General features: G+C 47.0%; 1 protein-coding gene across 2 annotated transcripts, besides 4 other annotated features; it reads left to right on the top strand.

Annotated features, from left to right (window-relative positions):
• The first annotated feature begins 414 nt into the window (after window positions 1-414).
• PPP1R14D (protein phosphatase 1 regulatory inhibitor subunit 14D) lies at window positions 415-13672 on the top strand. 2 transcript variants are annotated; one of them, NM_001130143.2, is made up of 5 exons: window positions 415-736; window positions 11776-11891; window positions 12870-12953; window positions 13129-13161; window positions 13362-13672. In NM_001130143.2, exons 1-5 carry the CDS (start codon window positions 482-484, stop codon window positions 13474-13476), a joined length of 603 nt encoding a protein of 200 aa, NP_001123615.1. In that variant the 5' UTR covers window positions 415-481; the 3' UTR covers window positions 13477-13672. The 2 variants fall into 2 exon arrangements, with proteins under 2 accessions (NP_001123615.1, NP_060196.1); NM_017726.8 differs by lacking the exon at window positions 11776-11891.
• Window positions 2618-2912: an enhancer, noted in NCBI's record as "tiled region #7770; K562 Activating DNase unmatched - State 5:Enh". NCBI's record gives its function as "activates a minimal TATA promoter and a strong SV40 promoter by Sharpr-MPRA in K562 cells {active_cell/tissue: K562}" and the evidence as "EXISTENCE:reporter gene assay evidence [ECO:0000049][PMID:27701403]".
• Window positions 2618-2912: a silencer, noted in NCBI's record as "tiled region #7770; HepG2 Repressive non-DNase unmatched - State 6:EnhF". NCBI's record gives its function as "represses a minimal TATA promoter and a strong SV40 promoter by Sharpr-MPRA in HepG2 cells {active_cell/tissue: HepG2}" and the evidence as "EXISTENCE:reporter gene assay evidence [ECO:0000049][PMID:27701403]".
• Window positions 2908-3408: an enhancer, noted in NCBI's record as "H3K27ac hESC enhancer chr15:41117913-41118413 (GRCh37/hg19 assembly coordinates)". NCBI's record gives its function as "activates a minimal SCP1, AML or CMV promoter by ChIP-STARR-seq in naive H9 embryonic stem cells {active_cell/tissue: H9 hESC(naive)}" and the evidence as "EXISTENCE:reporter gene assay evidence [ECO:0000049][PMID:30033119]".
• Window positions 3409-3909: an enhancer, noted in NCBI's record as "H3K27ac hESC enhancer chr15:41117412-41117912 (GRCh37/hg19 assembly coordinates)". NCBI's record gives its function as "activates a minimal SCP1, AML or CMV promoter by ChIP-STARR-seq in naive H9 embryonic stem cells {active_cell/tissue: H9 hESC(naive)}" and the evidence as "EXISTENCE:reporter gene assay evidence [ECO:0000049][PMID:30033119]".
• Window positions 13673-13752: the final 80 nt, after the last annotated feature.

Here is a 13752-nt window from a genome sequence, read left to right as displayed (position 1 = left end):
GGAATCTGACCACAGCTTCTCAGAGCCCAGAGTGGATCCAGCCCCAGGAAGGTGGGATACAGAGGGATCTCAGGTGAGAACGACTCAGGTCCCATTCCAGAGCTGGCCATAGAGCAGCGATTGGAGCCCTGTACCCTTCAGGACCCCAGGGCCCCTTCCTCCTCCCTGGGCATGGCAGCCTCTTGACCTTTGCTCATCTGCAGTTTATGCCACTTTGGGCCCTAGAAGCTGCAGAAAGGGAGGCTGGGGCATGGCTCTGGAGTGCCACTCACTGGCTGGCAGTGAGGAGCCAGGAGACTGGCATTCCCAGCACCAAAGTCCTATTGATCTTTGCCCTTGCCCCTCCCTGGGAGCCTTGGCCCTCCTCCTGCCTTCATTTCTTCTCTGCTGGCCTCTCCTGTTCTCTGTCTCCTCACTTCCCTCTGTGGCTCTGCTCAGAACTGGCGGTTTTTCCCAGCTCCTTGCCCAGACCAATACTTCCATGCTGTCTTCAAGCCCTGCTTCCTGCACATCTCCCAGCCCAGATGGGGAGAACCCATGTAAGAAGGTCCACTGGGCTTCTGGGAGGAGAAGGACATCATCCACAGACTCAGAGTCCAAGTCCCACCCGGACTCCTCCAAGATACCCAGGTCCCGGAGACCCAGCCGCCTGACAGTGAAGTATGACCGGGGCCAGCTCCAGCGCTGGCTGGAGATGGAGCAATGGGTGGATGCTCAAGTTCAGGAGCTCTTCCAGGTAGGTAGCACAGCGGATAGTGGGAGGAGATGGGGGCCTGGGGTCCACCCAGGGCACTGAGACCTTCACAGGAGCTGGAGGGCTGATGTGAGGTGCTTCCGTGAAGAGAAAGCTTTTGTAACTGATGAAAGAAAGAAGCATCGGTTTGAAGTCCAGAAGTCTGCCTCCCTCTAGGCTTGTCTGTGCCTCTAATGCTCTTTGTGATCTGGGGAAGGTCTTTTAACATCCCTAATCTATAATAGGGCTGTTAGTGCCTGTCATATCTCCTTTATAGGACTTTCTGAGGCTCAAATGAGACAATAGAAGGGAAAATGCTTGGTCACACTATGTTTCAAAATTTTATATCTTTATTTACTCCCATGTTCAATGCACATACATGTCCGGAGCTACATTTTCGTTTCTTTTCTTTTTCTTTGTTTCTTTCTTTCTTTCTTTCTTTTGTTTTTTGTTTGTTTGTTTGTTTTTGAGACAAAGTCTTGCCCTGTTGCACAGGCTGGAATGCAGTAGTGCAATCTCAGCTCACTGCTCTGCCTGCTGGGTTCAAGCCATCCTCCCACTTCAGCCTCCTGAGTAGCTGGGACTACAGGTGCGCACCACCACGCCTGGCAAATTTTTTTGTATTTTTTTTTGTAGAGACGGCTTTTCACCATGTTGCCCAGGCTGGTCTTGAACTCCTTGGCTCAAACAGTCTGCCTGCCTCGGCCTCTCAAAGTGCTGGGATTACAGGTGTGCACCACCATGCCCAGCCTAGAGCTACATTTTCCAATTCTGTAGCCATCAGCCATGTGTAGCTGTTTGACTTTAAATGAGTTATAATTAAATAAAATTATTCAGTTCCCCAGTCACATGGGCCACATTTCTTTTTTCTTTTGCCTTTTTTTGAGACAGTCTTACTCTGTAAACCAGCCTGGAGTGCAATGCCGTGATTTTGGCTCACTGCAACCTCCGCCTCCCAAGTTCAAGCGATTCTCCTGCCTCAGCCTCCCGAGTAGCTGGGATTACAGGCATGCGCCACTGTGCCCGACTAATTTTGTATTTTTAGTAGAGACGGGGTTTCTCCATGTTGGTCAGGCTGGTCTCGAACTCTCGACCTCAGGTGATCTGCCCACCTCAGCCTCCCAAAGTGCTGGGATTACAGGCGTGAGCCACCGCACCCAGCCAACATGGGCCACATCTCAAGTGTTAAATAGCCCCATGTGGCTAGTGACTACTATGTTGTCAGCACAAATATAGAATATTTTCGTTATTTCAGAATGGACAGTGCGGGACTAGAATGTTAAGAGTAACCAAAGTTGAGTGCCAATACCAGGACCTAAGCAATCTTTGACCCTGGCTCTGACTAACACTCTTCAACCCCACTCTGGGAAAAGGACAGGTCTTGGTCCCTGGTTACTGGAAACGGCACTTTCTTACTTATATACCTTTAAACCTGGATTCTAGAGAGGTAAGAACTGCTGTTCCAGCAATAAGAATAACATTCTGAACACAACTACGTGCTAGGCTCAATGCCAGGCACTGACATGCATTCTTTCATTTAATCCTTCCCACAACTCCATTAAGCAAGTACTGTTTTTCTTTTTTTATAGAGATGAGATCTTGCTATGTTGCCTAGGTTGGTCTTGAACTCCTGGGCTCGAACGATCCTCCAATCTTGGCTTCTCAAAATGCTGGGATTACAGGTGTGAGCCACCATGCCTGGCCAGCAGGTACTGCTTTACAGCTGAGGGAATGGAGGTTTACAGATGTTGAGTAACTTGCCCAAGGTCACACAACTAGGAAACCTTGGGACCAGGTGTGGAGCCTGGCCACTTATTTGAGCAGCCAATGGTTCTCCACACTTGAAATACTTAAGAAAAAAAACAGATGCCCTGGCTCCTCCTCAACTGAATTTAAATCTACTACAGTGGAGTCCAGATACTGGGCATTTTTTAAAAGCCCCACAGTTGGTTCTAATGTGTGGCTGGGCTGAGAACCATACGCCAAGCTAGTCAGGAGTTCAAAATATGTTGTCCTTGTTTCTCTTTCTTGTTGACTCAGATCCTATCTTTTTGGAGCAGCAGGGCCCTATAATTCCTGTGGGTAAGGGTTATCAGCAGTCCTAGGGTTGCAGGTGGTGAAGAATGATTGTTGTGACCCAGTCTATCTCGAAACTAACTGGGTCATGTGTCAGTTTGGTCAAGGTATTGACCAAAGATGCAGCATCCCAAGCATCTACCTCCCAAGCCCACTCACTGAGGGTAGGGAGACCCCTTGGAGCTGGGAGGCAAACTATCTTGGCCTGTATCTGCTCTGACCTCGCAGGACATATCCACTGCTCTTCCCTAATTCCAGCACTCTCCACTGGATCAGTTTCAATTTCAGATTGTTTATTGTGCACTTGCATACAGTCTCAAATTTCTGACATTCCGGGGCAAATCCTTCCAGACATCAAAGAAAGAACCTTGTTTTGCAAGATGAAAGTGGAGGGCTGGAGGCTGTACAGTAATAAGCCTGTAACACAGAAAGCAAGACATGTGGAAGGAGCGTTCCCAGGCAATGACTGGAATAAAATGCCTGGCCTGTGATTGCCATGGTAATTGTCCAAAGGTGCCAGGTGGCAGTTTCTCTCCCAATCCCTGCTCTTTTCAGCAGGAAGCAGTTAAGTGGCTGGGGAAGCCCCAGGTTGTTGGTCATCTTGGGCAGAGGTCAAGACAGCACAGTCTCCAGCCTTACTCTGCTCCATTCCAGTTTACGGAGAGCCCCTGCCCACCCACCAGGGCTCTACCCCAGATACCCACCTTAGACAGCAGCAGTGGGAAAGCATCTAAGGATACAACACTCTACTTGTTTAATATCTTGGGACCAACCTTCGTTTGTTGGAGGGACCTACCTCTTCTCCCTGGATGTGCAGCCTGGTGTGGGGTCTTCAGAGGAACCAAGTCTGGGGACGCAGACTTGGGGTCCTAGAGCTCCTGTTGTCCGGAGGTAGAGCATGATTTGCCTTCTAAGCAGGGACTTAAACACACATGAGTTTCTTCTATTTTATGGAGACCCTTGCCCAACATGCACCCCTTTTGTTACCATCCCCTCTATTTCTTTCTTTCTTTCTTTTTTTTTTTTTTGAGACAGAGTTTCACTCTTGTTGCCCAGGCTGGAGTACAATGGCATGACCTTGGCTCACTGCAACCTCCGCCTCCCAGGTTCAAGTGATTCTCCTGCCTCAGCTTTTCAAGTAGCTGGGATTACAGGCGCCGACCACCACACCTGGCTAATTTTTTGTATTTTTAGTAGAGATGAGGTTTCACCATGTTGGCCAGTCTGGTCTCAAACTACTGACTTCAGGTGACCCACCCGCCTCAGCCTCCCAAAGTGCTGGGATTACAGGAATGAGCCACCGCGCCTGGCCTGGTATCCCCCATTTCTTGTCACTTTAGAGCCAAACTCCTTAAAGGACTTGTCCACACTCACAGCCTTATTTACTTTTTCCCTGCCTGTCATCACTCAATCCACTGGAATCCGGCTTCTGTTTCCACCACTCTTTTGAGAGCTCTGGCCAAGGTCACCAGTCACTGCCTTGGGGGTAAATCTAATCTTCACATTAGCAAGGGACACTGTTGACCATCCCAGAGTTTTGAAACATTCCTTTCCTGTAGCTTCCTTTTTGATATAGTGACATTTTAATTCTATTAATTAGAATTTAATAATTCTATTAAACTTTTGACTTAAAAAAAGTATTGTCAGCTGGGCACAGTGGCTCATGTCTATGATCCCAGCACTTTGGGAGGCTGAGAGGGGCAAATTGCCTGAGTCCAAGAGTTCGAGATTAGCATAGGTAATATGGTGAAACCCTGTCCAAAAAAATACAAAAAATTAGCAGGGTGTGGTGGTGCGTGCCTGTGGTTCCAACCACTTGGGAGGCTGAGGAGGGAGGATTGCTTGAGCCTGGGAGGTCAAGGCTGCAGTAAGCCATGATCGTGCCACTGCACTCCAGCCTGGGTGACAAAGCAAGACCCTATCTCAAAAAAAAAAAAACAGTATTGTCAATGAATGTGTGAAACAAACATTTGTGTTTAACTTGATTGCCTCTATAAAAAAAGGAAAAAAAATTGTTGGTTCATCTGAGCCTTATTTAATTGCTGGTCTCCCTAGTGGAGAGGTCAGGAGTAAGGACCCTGGGTATGGAAAGGAAGTAAGAAAGGGAGTCAAATCAGGCAGCAGCTTCCAGGAAACTACCCTACATGACATAGAGTCACAAGTCTCACACTTGTTCATCTCAGTAGGGGTTGTTTTATATACCTGCTTATGTTCTGAGAGTTCAAAAATTATTTGAGGGCAAGAGTATTTGGACTGTGATATGAGCCCATATTCTCAACACCAGGTTGCCGTAGTAGTCCTTTTTTTTTTTTTTTTTAATGGAGATGGAGTCTTGCTATGTTGTTCAGGCTTGTCTTTAACTCCTGGGCTCAAGCAATCTTCCCACCTTGGCCTCCCAAAGTGCTGGGAGGGGTAAGCCACTGCACCCCAGTGGCAGTCTTGTACTCAGTAATACACATACCTTATATTCAATATATAGTCATGCCCTGCTTAACCACAGGGATACATTCTGTGAAATGCTACATTGTTAAGCAATTTCATCATTGTGCAAACATCATAGAGTGTATGTACACAGACCTAGATGGTATAGCCTACCACACATGTAGGCTATATGGTGTAGCTATTATTCCTAGGCTACAAACCTGTACAGCAGTTTACTGTACTGAATACTGTGGGCAGCTGTAATGTAATGCTAAGTATTTATATATCTGAACATAGAAAAGGTATAGTAAAAATATGGTAGAAAAGATTTTAAATGGCACAACTATATAGGTCACTTACTATGAATGGAGCTTGCAGGACTGGAAGTTGTTCTGGGTGAGTTGGTGAGTGAATGTGAGGGCCTAGGACATTACTGTAGATTTCATAAACACTGTACACATAGGCTGCACTAAATTCTTTTTTTCCTGCTGGGTACAGTGGCTCATAACTGTAATCCCAGCACTTGAGAGGCCGAGGCAGGAGGATTGCTTGAGCCCAGGAGCTCAGGACCAGCCTGGGCAACATAGTGGGACCCCACTCAACAAAAAAATTTTTAAAAATTAGCCAGGGGCCAGGTGCAGTGGCTCATGCTTGTAATCCCAGCACTTTGAGAGGCTGAAGTGGACGGATCACCTGAGGTCAGGAGTTAGAGACCAGCCTGGCCAACATGGTGAAATCCCGTCTCTACTAAAAATACAAAATTAGCCAGGCATGGTGGTGGCCACCTGTAATCCCAGCTGCTTGGGAGGCTAAGGCAGGAGAATCGCTTGAACCCAGGAGACAGAGGTTGCAGTAAGCCAAGATTGCACCATTGCACTCCAGCCTGGGCGACAAGAGCGAAATTGTAAAAAAAAAAAAAAAAAAAAATTAGCCGGATGTGGTGGTGTGCACCTGTAGTCCCAGCTACTTGAGAGGCTGAGGTAGGAGGATTGCTTGAGCCCGGGAGGTTGAGGCTGCAGTGAGCCATGATTGTGCAGCCTGGGTGACAGAATGAGACCCTACTCAAAAACAAAAACAAAAACTCCACAAAACAACAACAACAACAAAATGTCATTTTAAGTTTTAAAAAACTGGTCTTGAGGCCAGGCATGGTGGCTCACGCCTGTAATCCCAGCACTTTGGGAGGCCAAGGCGGGTGGATCACCTGAGGTTGGGAGTTTGAGACCAGCCTCACCAACATGGCAAAACCCCGTCTCTCCTAAAAAAATGCAAAAATTAGCAGGACGTGGTAGGCACCCGTAATCCCAGCATCTCGGGAGGCTGAGGCAGGAGAATCACTTGAACCCGGGAGGCAGAGTTTGCAGTGAGCTGAGATCATGCCATTGCACTCCAGCCTGGGCAACAAGAGCGAAACTCCATCTCAAAAAAAAAAAAGAATCTGGTCTTGAACTCCTGACCTCAAGCGATCCTCCTGCCTTGGCCTTTCAAAGTGTTGGGATTATAGGCATGAACCACCATAACCAGCTGCTACACTAAATTTATAAAAATATTTTTTTCTTTCTTTTTTTTTTTTAGAGGCAAGGTCTCACTATGTTTCCCAGGCTGGACTTGAACTTTTGGGCTCAAGCAATCTGCCTGCCTTGACCTCCCAAAGTACTGGGATTATAGGAATGAGCCACTGTGCCCAGCCTATAACATTTTTTTTCTTTCTTCAGTAATAAGCTAACTTCAGATTACTGTAACTTTTTTACATTATAAACTTAAAATGTTTTTTAAAAAATAGAGATGGGGTCTGCCATGTTGCCCAGGCTGGTCTCGAACTCCTGAACTTAAGCAATCCTCCCACCTCAGCCTCCCAAAGTGCTGGGATTACAGGCATAAGCCACTGCACCTGACCAAGACTGATACTTTTTTAAAGGCAAAGTTCTAATCATTAGAGTGTGTTTTGTTTGTTTGTTTGTTTTTGAGACACAGTCTCACTTTATCGCCCACGCTGGAGTACAGTGGTACGATCTCGCCTCACCGCAGCCTCCGCCTCCCAGGTTTGACTGATTCTCCTGCCTCAGCCTCCCCAGTAGCTGGGGTTACAGGCATGCACCACCACACCCGGCTAATTTTTGTATTTTTAGTAGAGATGGGGTTTCGCCATGGTGGCCAGTCTGGTCTCAAACCCCTGACCTCAGGTGATCCGCCTGCCTCAGCCTCCCAGAGTGCTGGGATTACAGGCATGAGCCACCACGCCTGGCCTAGAGTTTATCTTTATTATAATGCCCACTCACACCCTCTGAGATTCCAGTTACAGATGTTAGACCACTTGATATCCATAGGTCATCGAAGTTCTTTTCTATTCTGTCCTCCCCCACTACCCTGCCCACCCAGGTTTTTTTTTAATCTGTGCTTCATTTTGGCTCATTTCATTTGCTATATCTTCAACTGACCTTTTTTTTTTCCCCACAGTGTTAAACATGCTGTTAATTCTATCTAGTAAGGTTTACATTTAAAATATGCAATTTTTCTTCTCTAGGTGCTCCATTTGGTTTTGTTTGTTTGTTTGTTTTGAGACAGACTCTCACTCTGTCACCCAGGCAGGAGTGCAAATGGTATGATCTCAGCTCACTGCAACCTCTGCCTCCTTGGTTCAAGCAATTCTCCTGCCTTAGCCTCCTGAGTAGCTGGGATTACAGGCATGCGCACCATGTCTGGCTAATTTTTGTATTTTTAGTAGAGATGGGGTTTCACCATGTTAGCCAGGCTGATCTCGAACCCCTGACCTGAGGTGATCCCCACCTCGGCCTCCGAAGTGCTAGGATTACAGGCGTGAGCCACGGCACCCGGCCTGGTTCTTTTTTTTTCTTCTTATTTTTTTTTTAATGGAGAAGAGTTCTTGCTATGTTGCTCAGGCTGGTCTCAAACTCCTGGCCTCAAGCACTCTCCTGTCTTAACCCCCACCAAAGTGCCGAGATTAAGGCATGAGCCACTGTGCCTGGCTGGTTCTTTTATTTCTTTCTTTATTTATATTTTTATTTTATTTTGAGACAGAGTCTTGCTCTGTCACCCTGGCTGGAGGGCAGTGGCATGATCTTGGCTCACTGCAACCTCCACCTCCCGGGTTCAAGCCATTCTGCTGCCTCAGCCTCCCGAGTAACTGGGATTACAGGTGTACGTCAGAACACCTCGCTAAATTTTTGTATTTTTAGTAGAGACGGGGTTCACCATTTTGGCCAGGCTGGTCTCAAACTCTCAAACTCCTGACCTCAAGTGAGCCGCCCATCTCAGCCTCCCAAAGTGCTGGGATTATAGGCGTGAGCCACTGTACCTGGCCTGATTCTTTCTTTTATCTTCTGTATCTCTCATTACTGTGTTTATGTTTTCCTTGTCTGCTAATTCTATCATTTATGTCTTTTCTGGCTCTGCTTTTTAAGTTTTTTAATCTAGGCCAGGCTCGGTGGCTCACGCCTGTAATCCCAACACTTTGGGAGGCTGAGGTGGGTGGATCACCTGAGGTCAGGAGGTAGAGACCAGCCTGGTCAACATGGTAAAACCCCATCTCTACTAAAAATACAAAAACTAGCCAGGCATGGTGGCAAGCACCTATAATCTCAGCTACTTGGGAGGCTGAGGCAGGAGAATTGCTTCACCCTGGGAGGCAGAGGTTGCAGTAAGCCGAGATCGCACCACTGCACTCCAGCCTGGGTGACAGAGCGAGACCCTGTCAGCAAAAAAAAAGGGCTGGGCACAGTGGCTCATGCCTGTAATCCCAGCACTTTGGGAGGCCGAGGCGGGCAGATCACCTGAGGTCAGGAGTTCGAGACCAGCCTGACCAACATGGAGAAACCCCATCTCTACTAAAAATACAAAATTAGCCAGGCGTGGTGGCGCATGCCTATAATCCCAGCTACTCGGGAGGCTGAGGCAGGAGAATCGCTTGAACCCGGGAGGCAGAGGTTGCGGTGAGCCGAGATCATGCCATTGCACTCCAGCCTGGGCAACAAGAGCAAACCTCCATCTCAAAAAAAAAAAAAAAATAGCAATATACACTGGAAAATACCATTAGACTCAACTATATAAACACATACATGTATTTCCCCAACAGCACCCCTCCAGCACAATAGCTATTTCCATCATATGTGGAATCTAGGGTTAATCTGAATTCAATAAGTTAAAAAGAAAGAGTTCTTAAATCAGTAAGAAAAAAACTGAAAATCTCAACAGAAAAATGGATAACATATCAGTTCTTGAAGTGTGGTCTAGTGACCCATGGAGGTTCCTAAGAACTCTTTCGGAGATTCCCAAGAACTCTTTCGGAGGTTCTGTGATTATTTTCATAATAACGGTAATTTTTTTTTTTTTTTTTGAGAAAGAGAGTCTTGCTTTGTCGCCCAGGCTGGAGTGCAGTGGCGTGATATTGGCTCACTTCCCGAGTTCAAGCCATTCTCCTGCCTCAGCCTCCCAAATAGCTGGGATTACAGGCACACGGCACCATACCTGGCTAATTTTTGTATTTTTAGTAGAGATGGAGGTTTCACCAAGTTGGCCAGGCTGGTCTCGAACTCCTGACCTCAAGTGATCCATCTGCCTCAGCCTCGCGCCTGGCCAATGCTAAGATTTTGTTTGCCTTTTTCAGTACGTTGACATTTGTGCTGATAATGCAAAAGCAACAGTGGCCCTTCACATGAATCAAGAAAGTGGCACTAAACTGTACTAGTAGTCGTGTTCTTCACTACTACATCGTTTTCACTTAAGAAAGTCCTCTTCATCTGTAAAATGGGTAAATGAAAAGATAACAGAAAGAATGTCCTTGTTGAAGCAGTAAAATATTAATTTTATTAATTATATTTGAGCTCACGTCCTTTTTTAATAGACCTATTTTTTAGAGCAGTTTTAGGTTCACAGACAAATTGAGCATAAGGTAAAAGATATTTCCCATATCTCCCTGCCGCCACATATGTATAGCTTCCCCCACTATCCCCCACCCAGCAGCAAGGTTATATATTATTTGTTACAATCAATGAATTTACACTGACAACATTATCAACCAAAGTCCATGGTTTAAATTGGGCTTCACTGTTGGTGTTGTACATTCTATGGTTTTGGACAAATGTGCATGACATGTATCCACCGTTATAGTGTCATACAGAAGAGTTTCACTGTCCTGAGAATCCCCTGTGGTCTACTTGTCCCTCCTCCCTCTTACCCCTGTGGCAATCACTGATCTTTTTACTATCGCCATACTTTTTCCAGCAGGTCTTACTGTTGGGATCATAGAGTATTTAAGTTGGCTTCTTCTTTTTTTTGAGACAGGGTCTCTACTTTTCTGCCCAGGCTAGACTCCTTGGGACTATACAGGTGCATGCTACTGTGACTGGCTTCAAACTGGCTTATTTAACTGTCATATGCATTTTAGGTTCCTCGATGACTCTTCCTGGCTTGATAGCTCATTCATTTTTGCACTGAATAATATTCCATTCTCTGGACATACCAGTTTGTTTATCCATTCACCTACTGAAGACTATCTTAGTTGCTTCCATGTTTTGGCAATTATGAATAAAGCTGCTATAGATCATCCGTGTGCATGTGTGGTTTTTTTTTTTTTTTTTTTTTTTTGAGATGGAGTCTCGCTCTGTCGCCCAGGCTGGAGTGCAGTGGCGCCATCTTGGCTCACTGCAAGCTCTGCCTCCCGGGTTCACACCATTCTCCTGCCTCAGCCTCCCGAGTAGCTGGGACACAGGCACCCACCACCACGCCCAGCTAATTTTTTGTATTTTTAGTAGAGACGGGGTTTCACTGTGTTAGCCAGGATGGTCTCAATCTCCTGACCTCGTGATCAGCCCGCCTCAGCCTCCCAAAGTGCTGGGATTACAGGCGTGTGCCACCGCACCCAGCCATCTGTGTGCAGGTTTTTGTGTGAATGTGTTTTCATCTCATTTGGGTAAATACCAAGGGAGTGCAATTAATGGACTGCATGGTAAGAGTGTGTTTAGGGCTGGGCATGGTGCTTACGCCTGTAATCCCAGTGCTTTGGGAGGCAGAGGTGGGAGGATCACTTGAGACCAGGAGTTTGAGACCAGCCTGGACAACATATTGAGACTTGTCTCTACAAAAAATAAAAAATTAGCTGGGTGTGGTGGTGTGCACCTGTGGTCCCAGCTACTTGGGAGGCTGAGGTGGGAGGATCCCTTGAGCCTGGGAGGTCAAGACTGCAGTGAGCCTTGATCATGCCACTGCACTCCAGCCTGGGTGACAGAGCAATACTTTTGTCTCAAAAAAAAAAAAAAAAAAAGTTTAGTTTTGTAAGAAACCACCAAACTATCTTCCAAAGTAGCCATACCATTTTGCATTCCCACTAGCAATGAATGACATGAATGAATGAATGTTTTAATTTGCAATTCCCTAATGACATATGATGTTGAGCATCTTTTTATACACTCACTTTTCATCTATATATCTTATTTAGTGGGGTGTCTGTTCATATCTGTTGTCCATTTTTCAATTGTGTTGTTCATCTTCTTCTTGTAATTTAATTTTTTTTTTTTTTTTTTTGACAGAGTCTTGCTCTGTCACCCAGGCTGGAGTGCAGTGGTGTGATCCATTCTCTGCAACTTCTGCCTCCCGGGTTCAATCGATTCTCCTGCCTCAGCTCCTGGAGTAGCTGGGATTACGGGTATGCGCAACCACACCCAGCTAATTTTTGTATATTCAGTAGAGACGGGGTTTTACCACGTTGGCCAGGCTGGTCTAGAACTCCTGACCTCAAATGATACACCCGCCTTGGCCTCCCAAAGTGCTGAGATTACAGGCATGAGCCACCGTGGCCAGCTTTTGTTTTAAGACAGAGACTCGCCCAGACGGGCTGGAGTGCAGTGGCACGATCTCCGCTCACTGCAACCTCCACCTTCTGGTTGAAGCCATTCTCCTGCCTCAGCCTCCTGAATAGCTGGGATTACAGGCATGTGCCACCAGGCCCAGCTACTTTTTGCATTTTTAGTAGAGACAGGATTTCACCATGTTGGCCAGGCTGGTCTCGAACTCGTGACCTCAAATAATCCACCCACCTCAGCCTCCCAAAGTGCTGGGATTACAGGAGTGAGCCACTGTGCCTGGTCAATAATTCTTTGTATTTTTTGGGTAACAGTCCCTTAACAGATGTCTTTTTTTATTATTTTTATTTTTTTTGCGACGAAGTCTCCCTCTGTCACCCAGGATGGAGTACAGTGGCACAATCTCGGCTCACTGCAACCTCTGCCTCCCAGGTTCTGGGTTCAAGTGATTCTCCTGCCTCAGCCTCCCAAGTAGCTGGGATTACAGGCGTCCACCACCATGCCCGGCTTATTTTTGTATTTTTAGTAGAGACAGGATTTCACCATGTTGGCCAGGCTGGTCTTAAACTCCTGACCTCAGGTGATCTGCCTGCCTCGGCCTCCCGAAGTGCTGGGATTACAGGCATGAGCCACTGCACCCAGCCAAAATATAGTATATGTTTAGTAAATTACTGTTGAATGGAAAACTGAATGGGTGTTCTGAGTGAGGAGAAAGTCTAACCATGGGAAATTGGAGAGAGGTGGGTTGAGTCCCTGACAGTAACCTTCATTCCAGCACCAGCTGGTCAGGCCCCTCTGAGACCCATGTGATTTCCAAATAGGATCAAGCAACCCCTTCTGAGCCTGAGATTGACCTGGAAGCTCTCATGGATCTATCCACAGAGGAGCAGAAGACTCAGCTGGAGGTAGGATGGGGGCTAGAAGCTGGCCTTGGGTCAGTGGGAACCCAGAAACCCAGGTTCTGCCTCCTTTGGTGGAGTGCAGAGAACCAATCCAGAGGGGAGAATTCTTGGGAGATTGGTGGGGACTTGCGGGAAAGTGCTGTGACTTGGGGCCCTGTCTGTGTTCTCTCCTATCTAGGCCATTCTTGGGAACTGCCCCCGCCCCACAGAGGTAAGGGATGTTCTTCTGCTGGTCTGGGGTAAGAGGAGGCCCAATGGGGGAGGTAGCTAATGAGGAGTATTTGAAGGGAAGGCTTGGCTGTGGGTCCTTCTCCCTTCTCTGGGGAGTCAGGGGCAGGGGAAGATTAGGGAGGGCAGGGTGGGGGGTGAATTGTGACCCCAAGCCTGGTCTCACTCCTGTTTCTCCCTCAGGCTTTTATCTCTGAGCTGCTCAGTCAACTCAAGAAACTCCGGAGACTCAGCCGGCCTCAGAAATAAGCCTGAGAGACCATCTTTAGCAGCCTCAGCACTGCCAGGCCTGCCCTGAAACTCCAGATCCTGGCTAAGAGGGAAATAGCTCCTTGGGACACAAACAAGAAATGTGGACAAGGAGGGACATTTGCATACTCCTACTGTCTGTGTGGTCACAGCTAGTTTCTGTCAGCTGGGCTCTCTGGGAGAAAGCTGGCTGTTGTCCAATGCCTTCCTTGGCAGCCAAGTGGATAAAACCTTTAGGAGCCCCAGCTCAATGGAGTGTGGAACATATCTGTGCTGAGGGACAGGGGAGGAGAGAATGAAGTGATACACAGGAAGGCCACAACCT

Source organism: Homo sapiens, chromosome 15, assembly GCF_000001405.40.
Source record: "Homo sapiens chromosome 15, GRCh38.p14 Primary Assembly".
Classification (NCBI taxonomy): domain Eukaryota; kingdom Metazoa; phylum Chordata; class Mammalia; order Primates; family Hominidae; genus Homo; species Homo sapiens.
The sequence above is the reverse complement of the archived record's forward strand: the minus strand, read 5'-3'. Positions and strand labels throughout refer to the sequence as shown.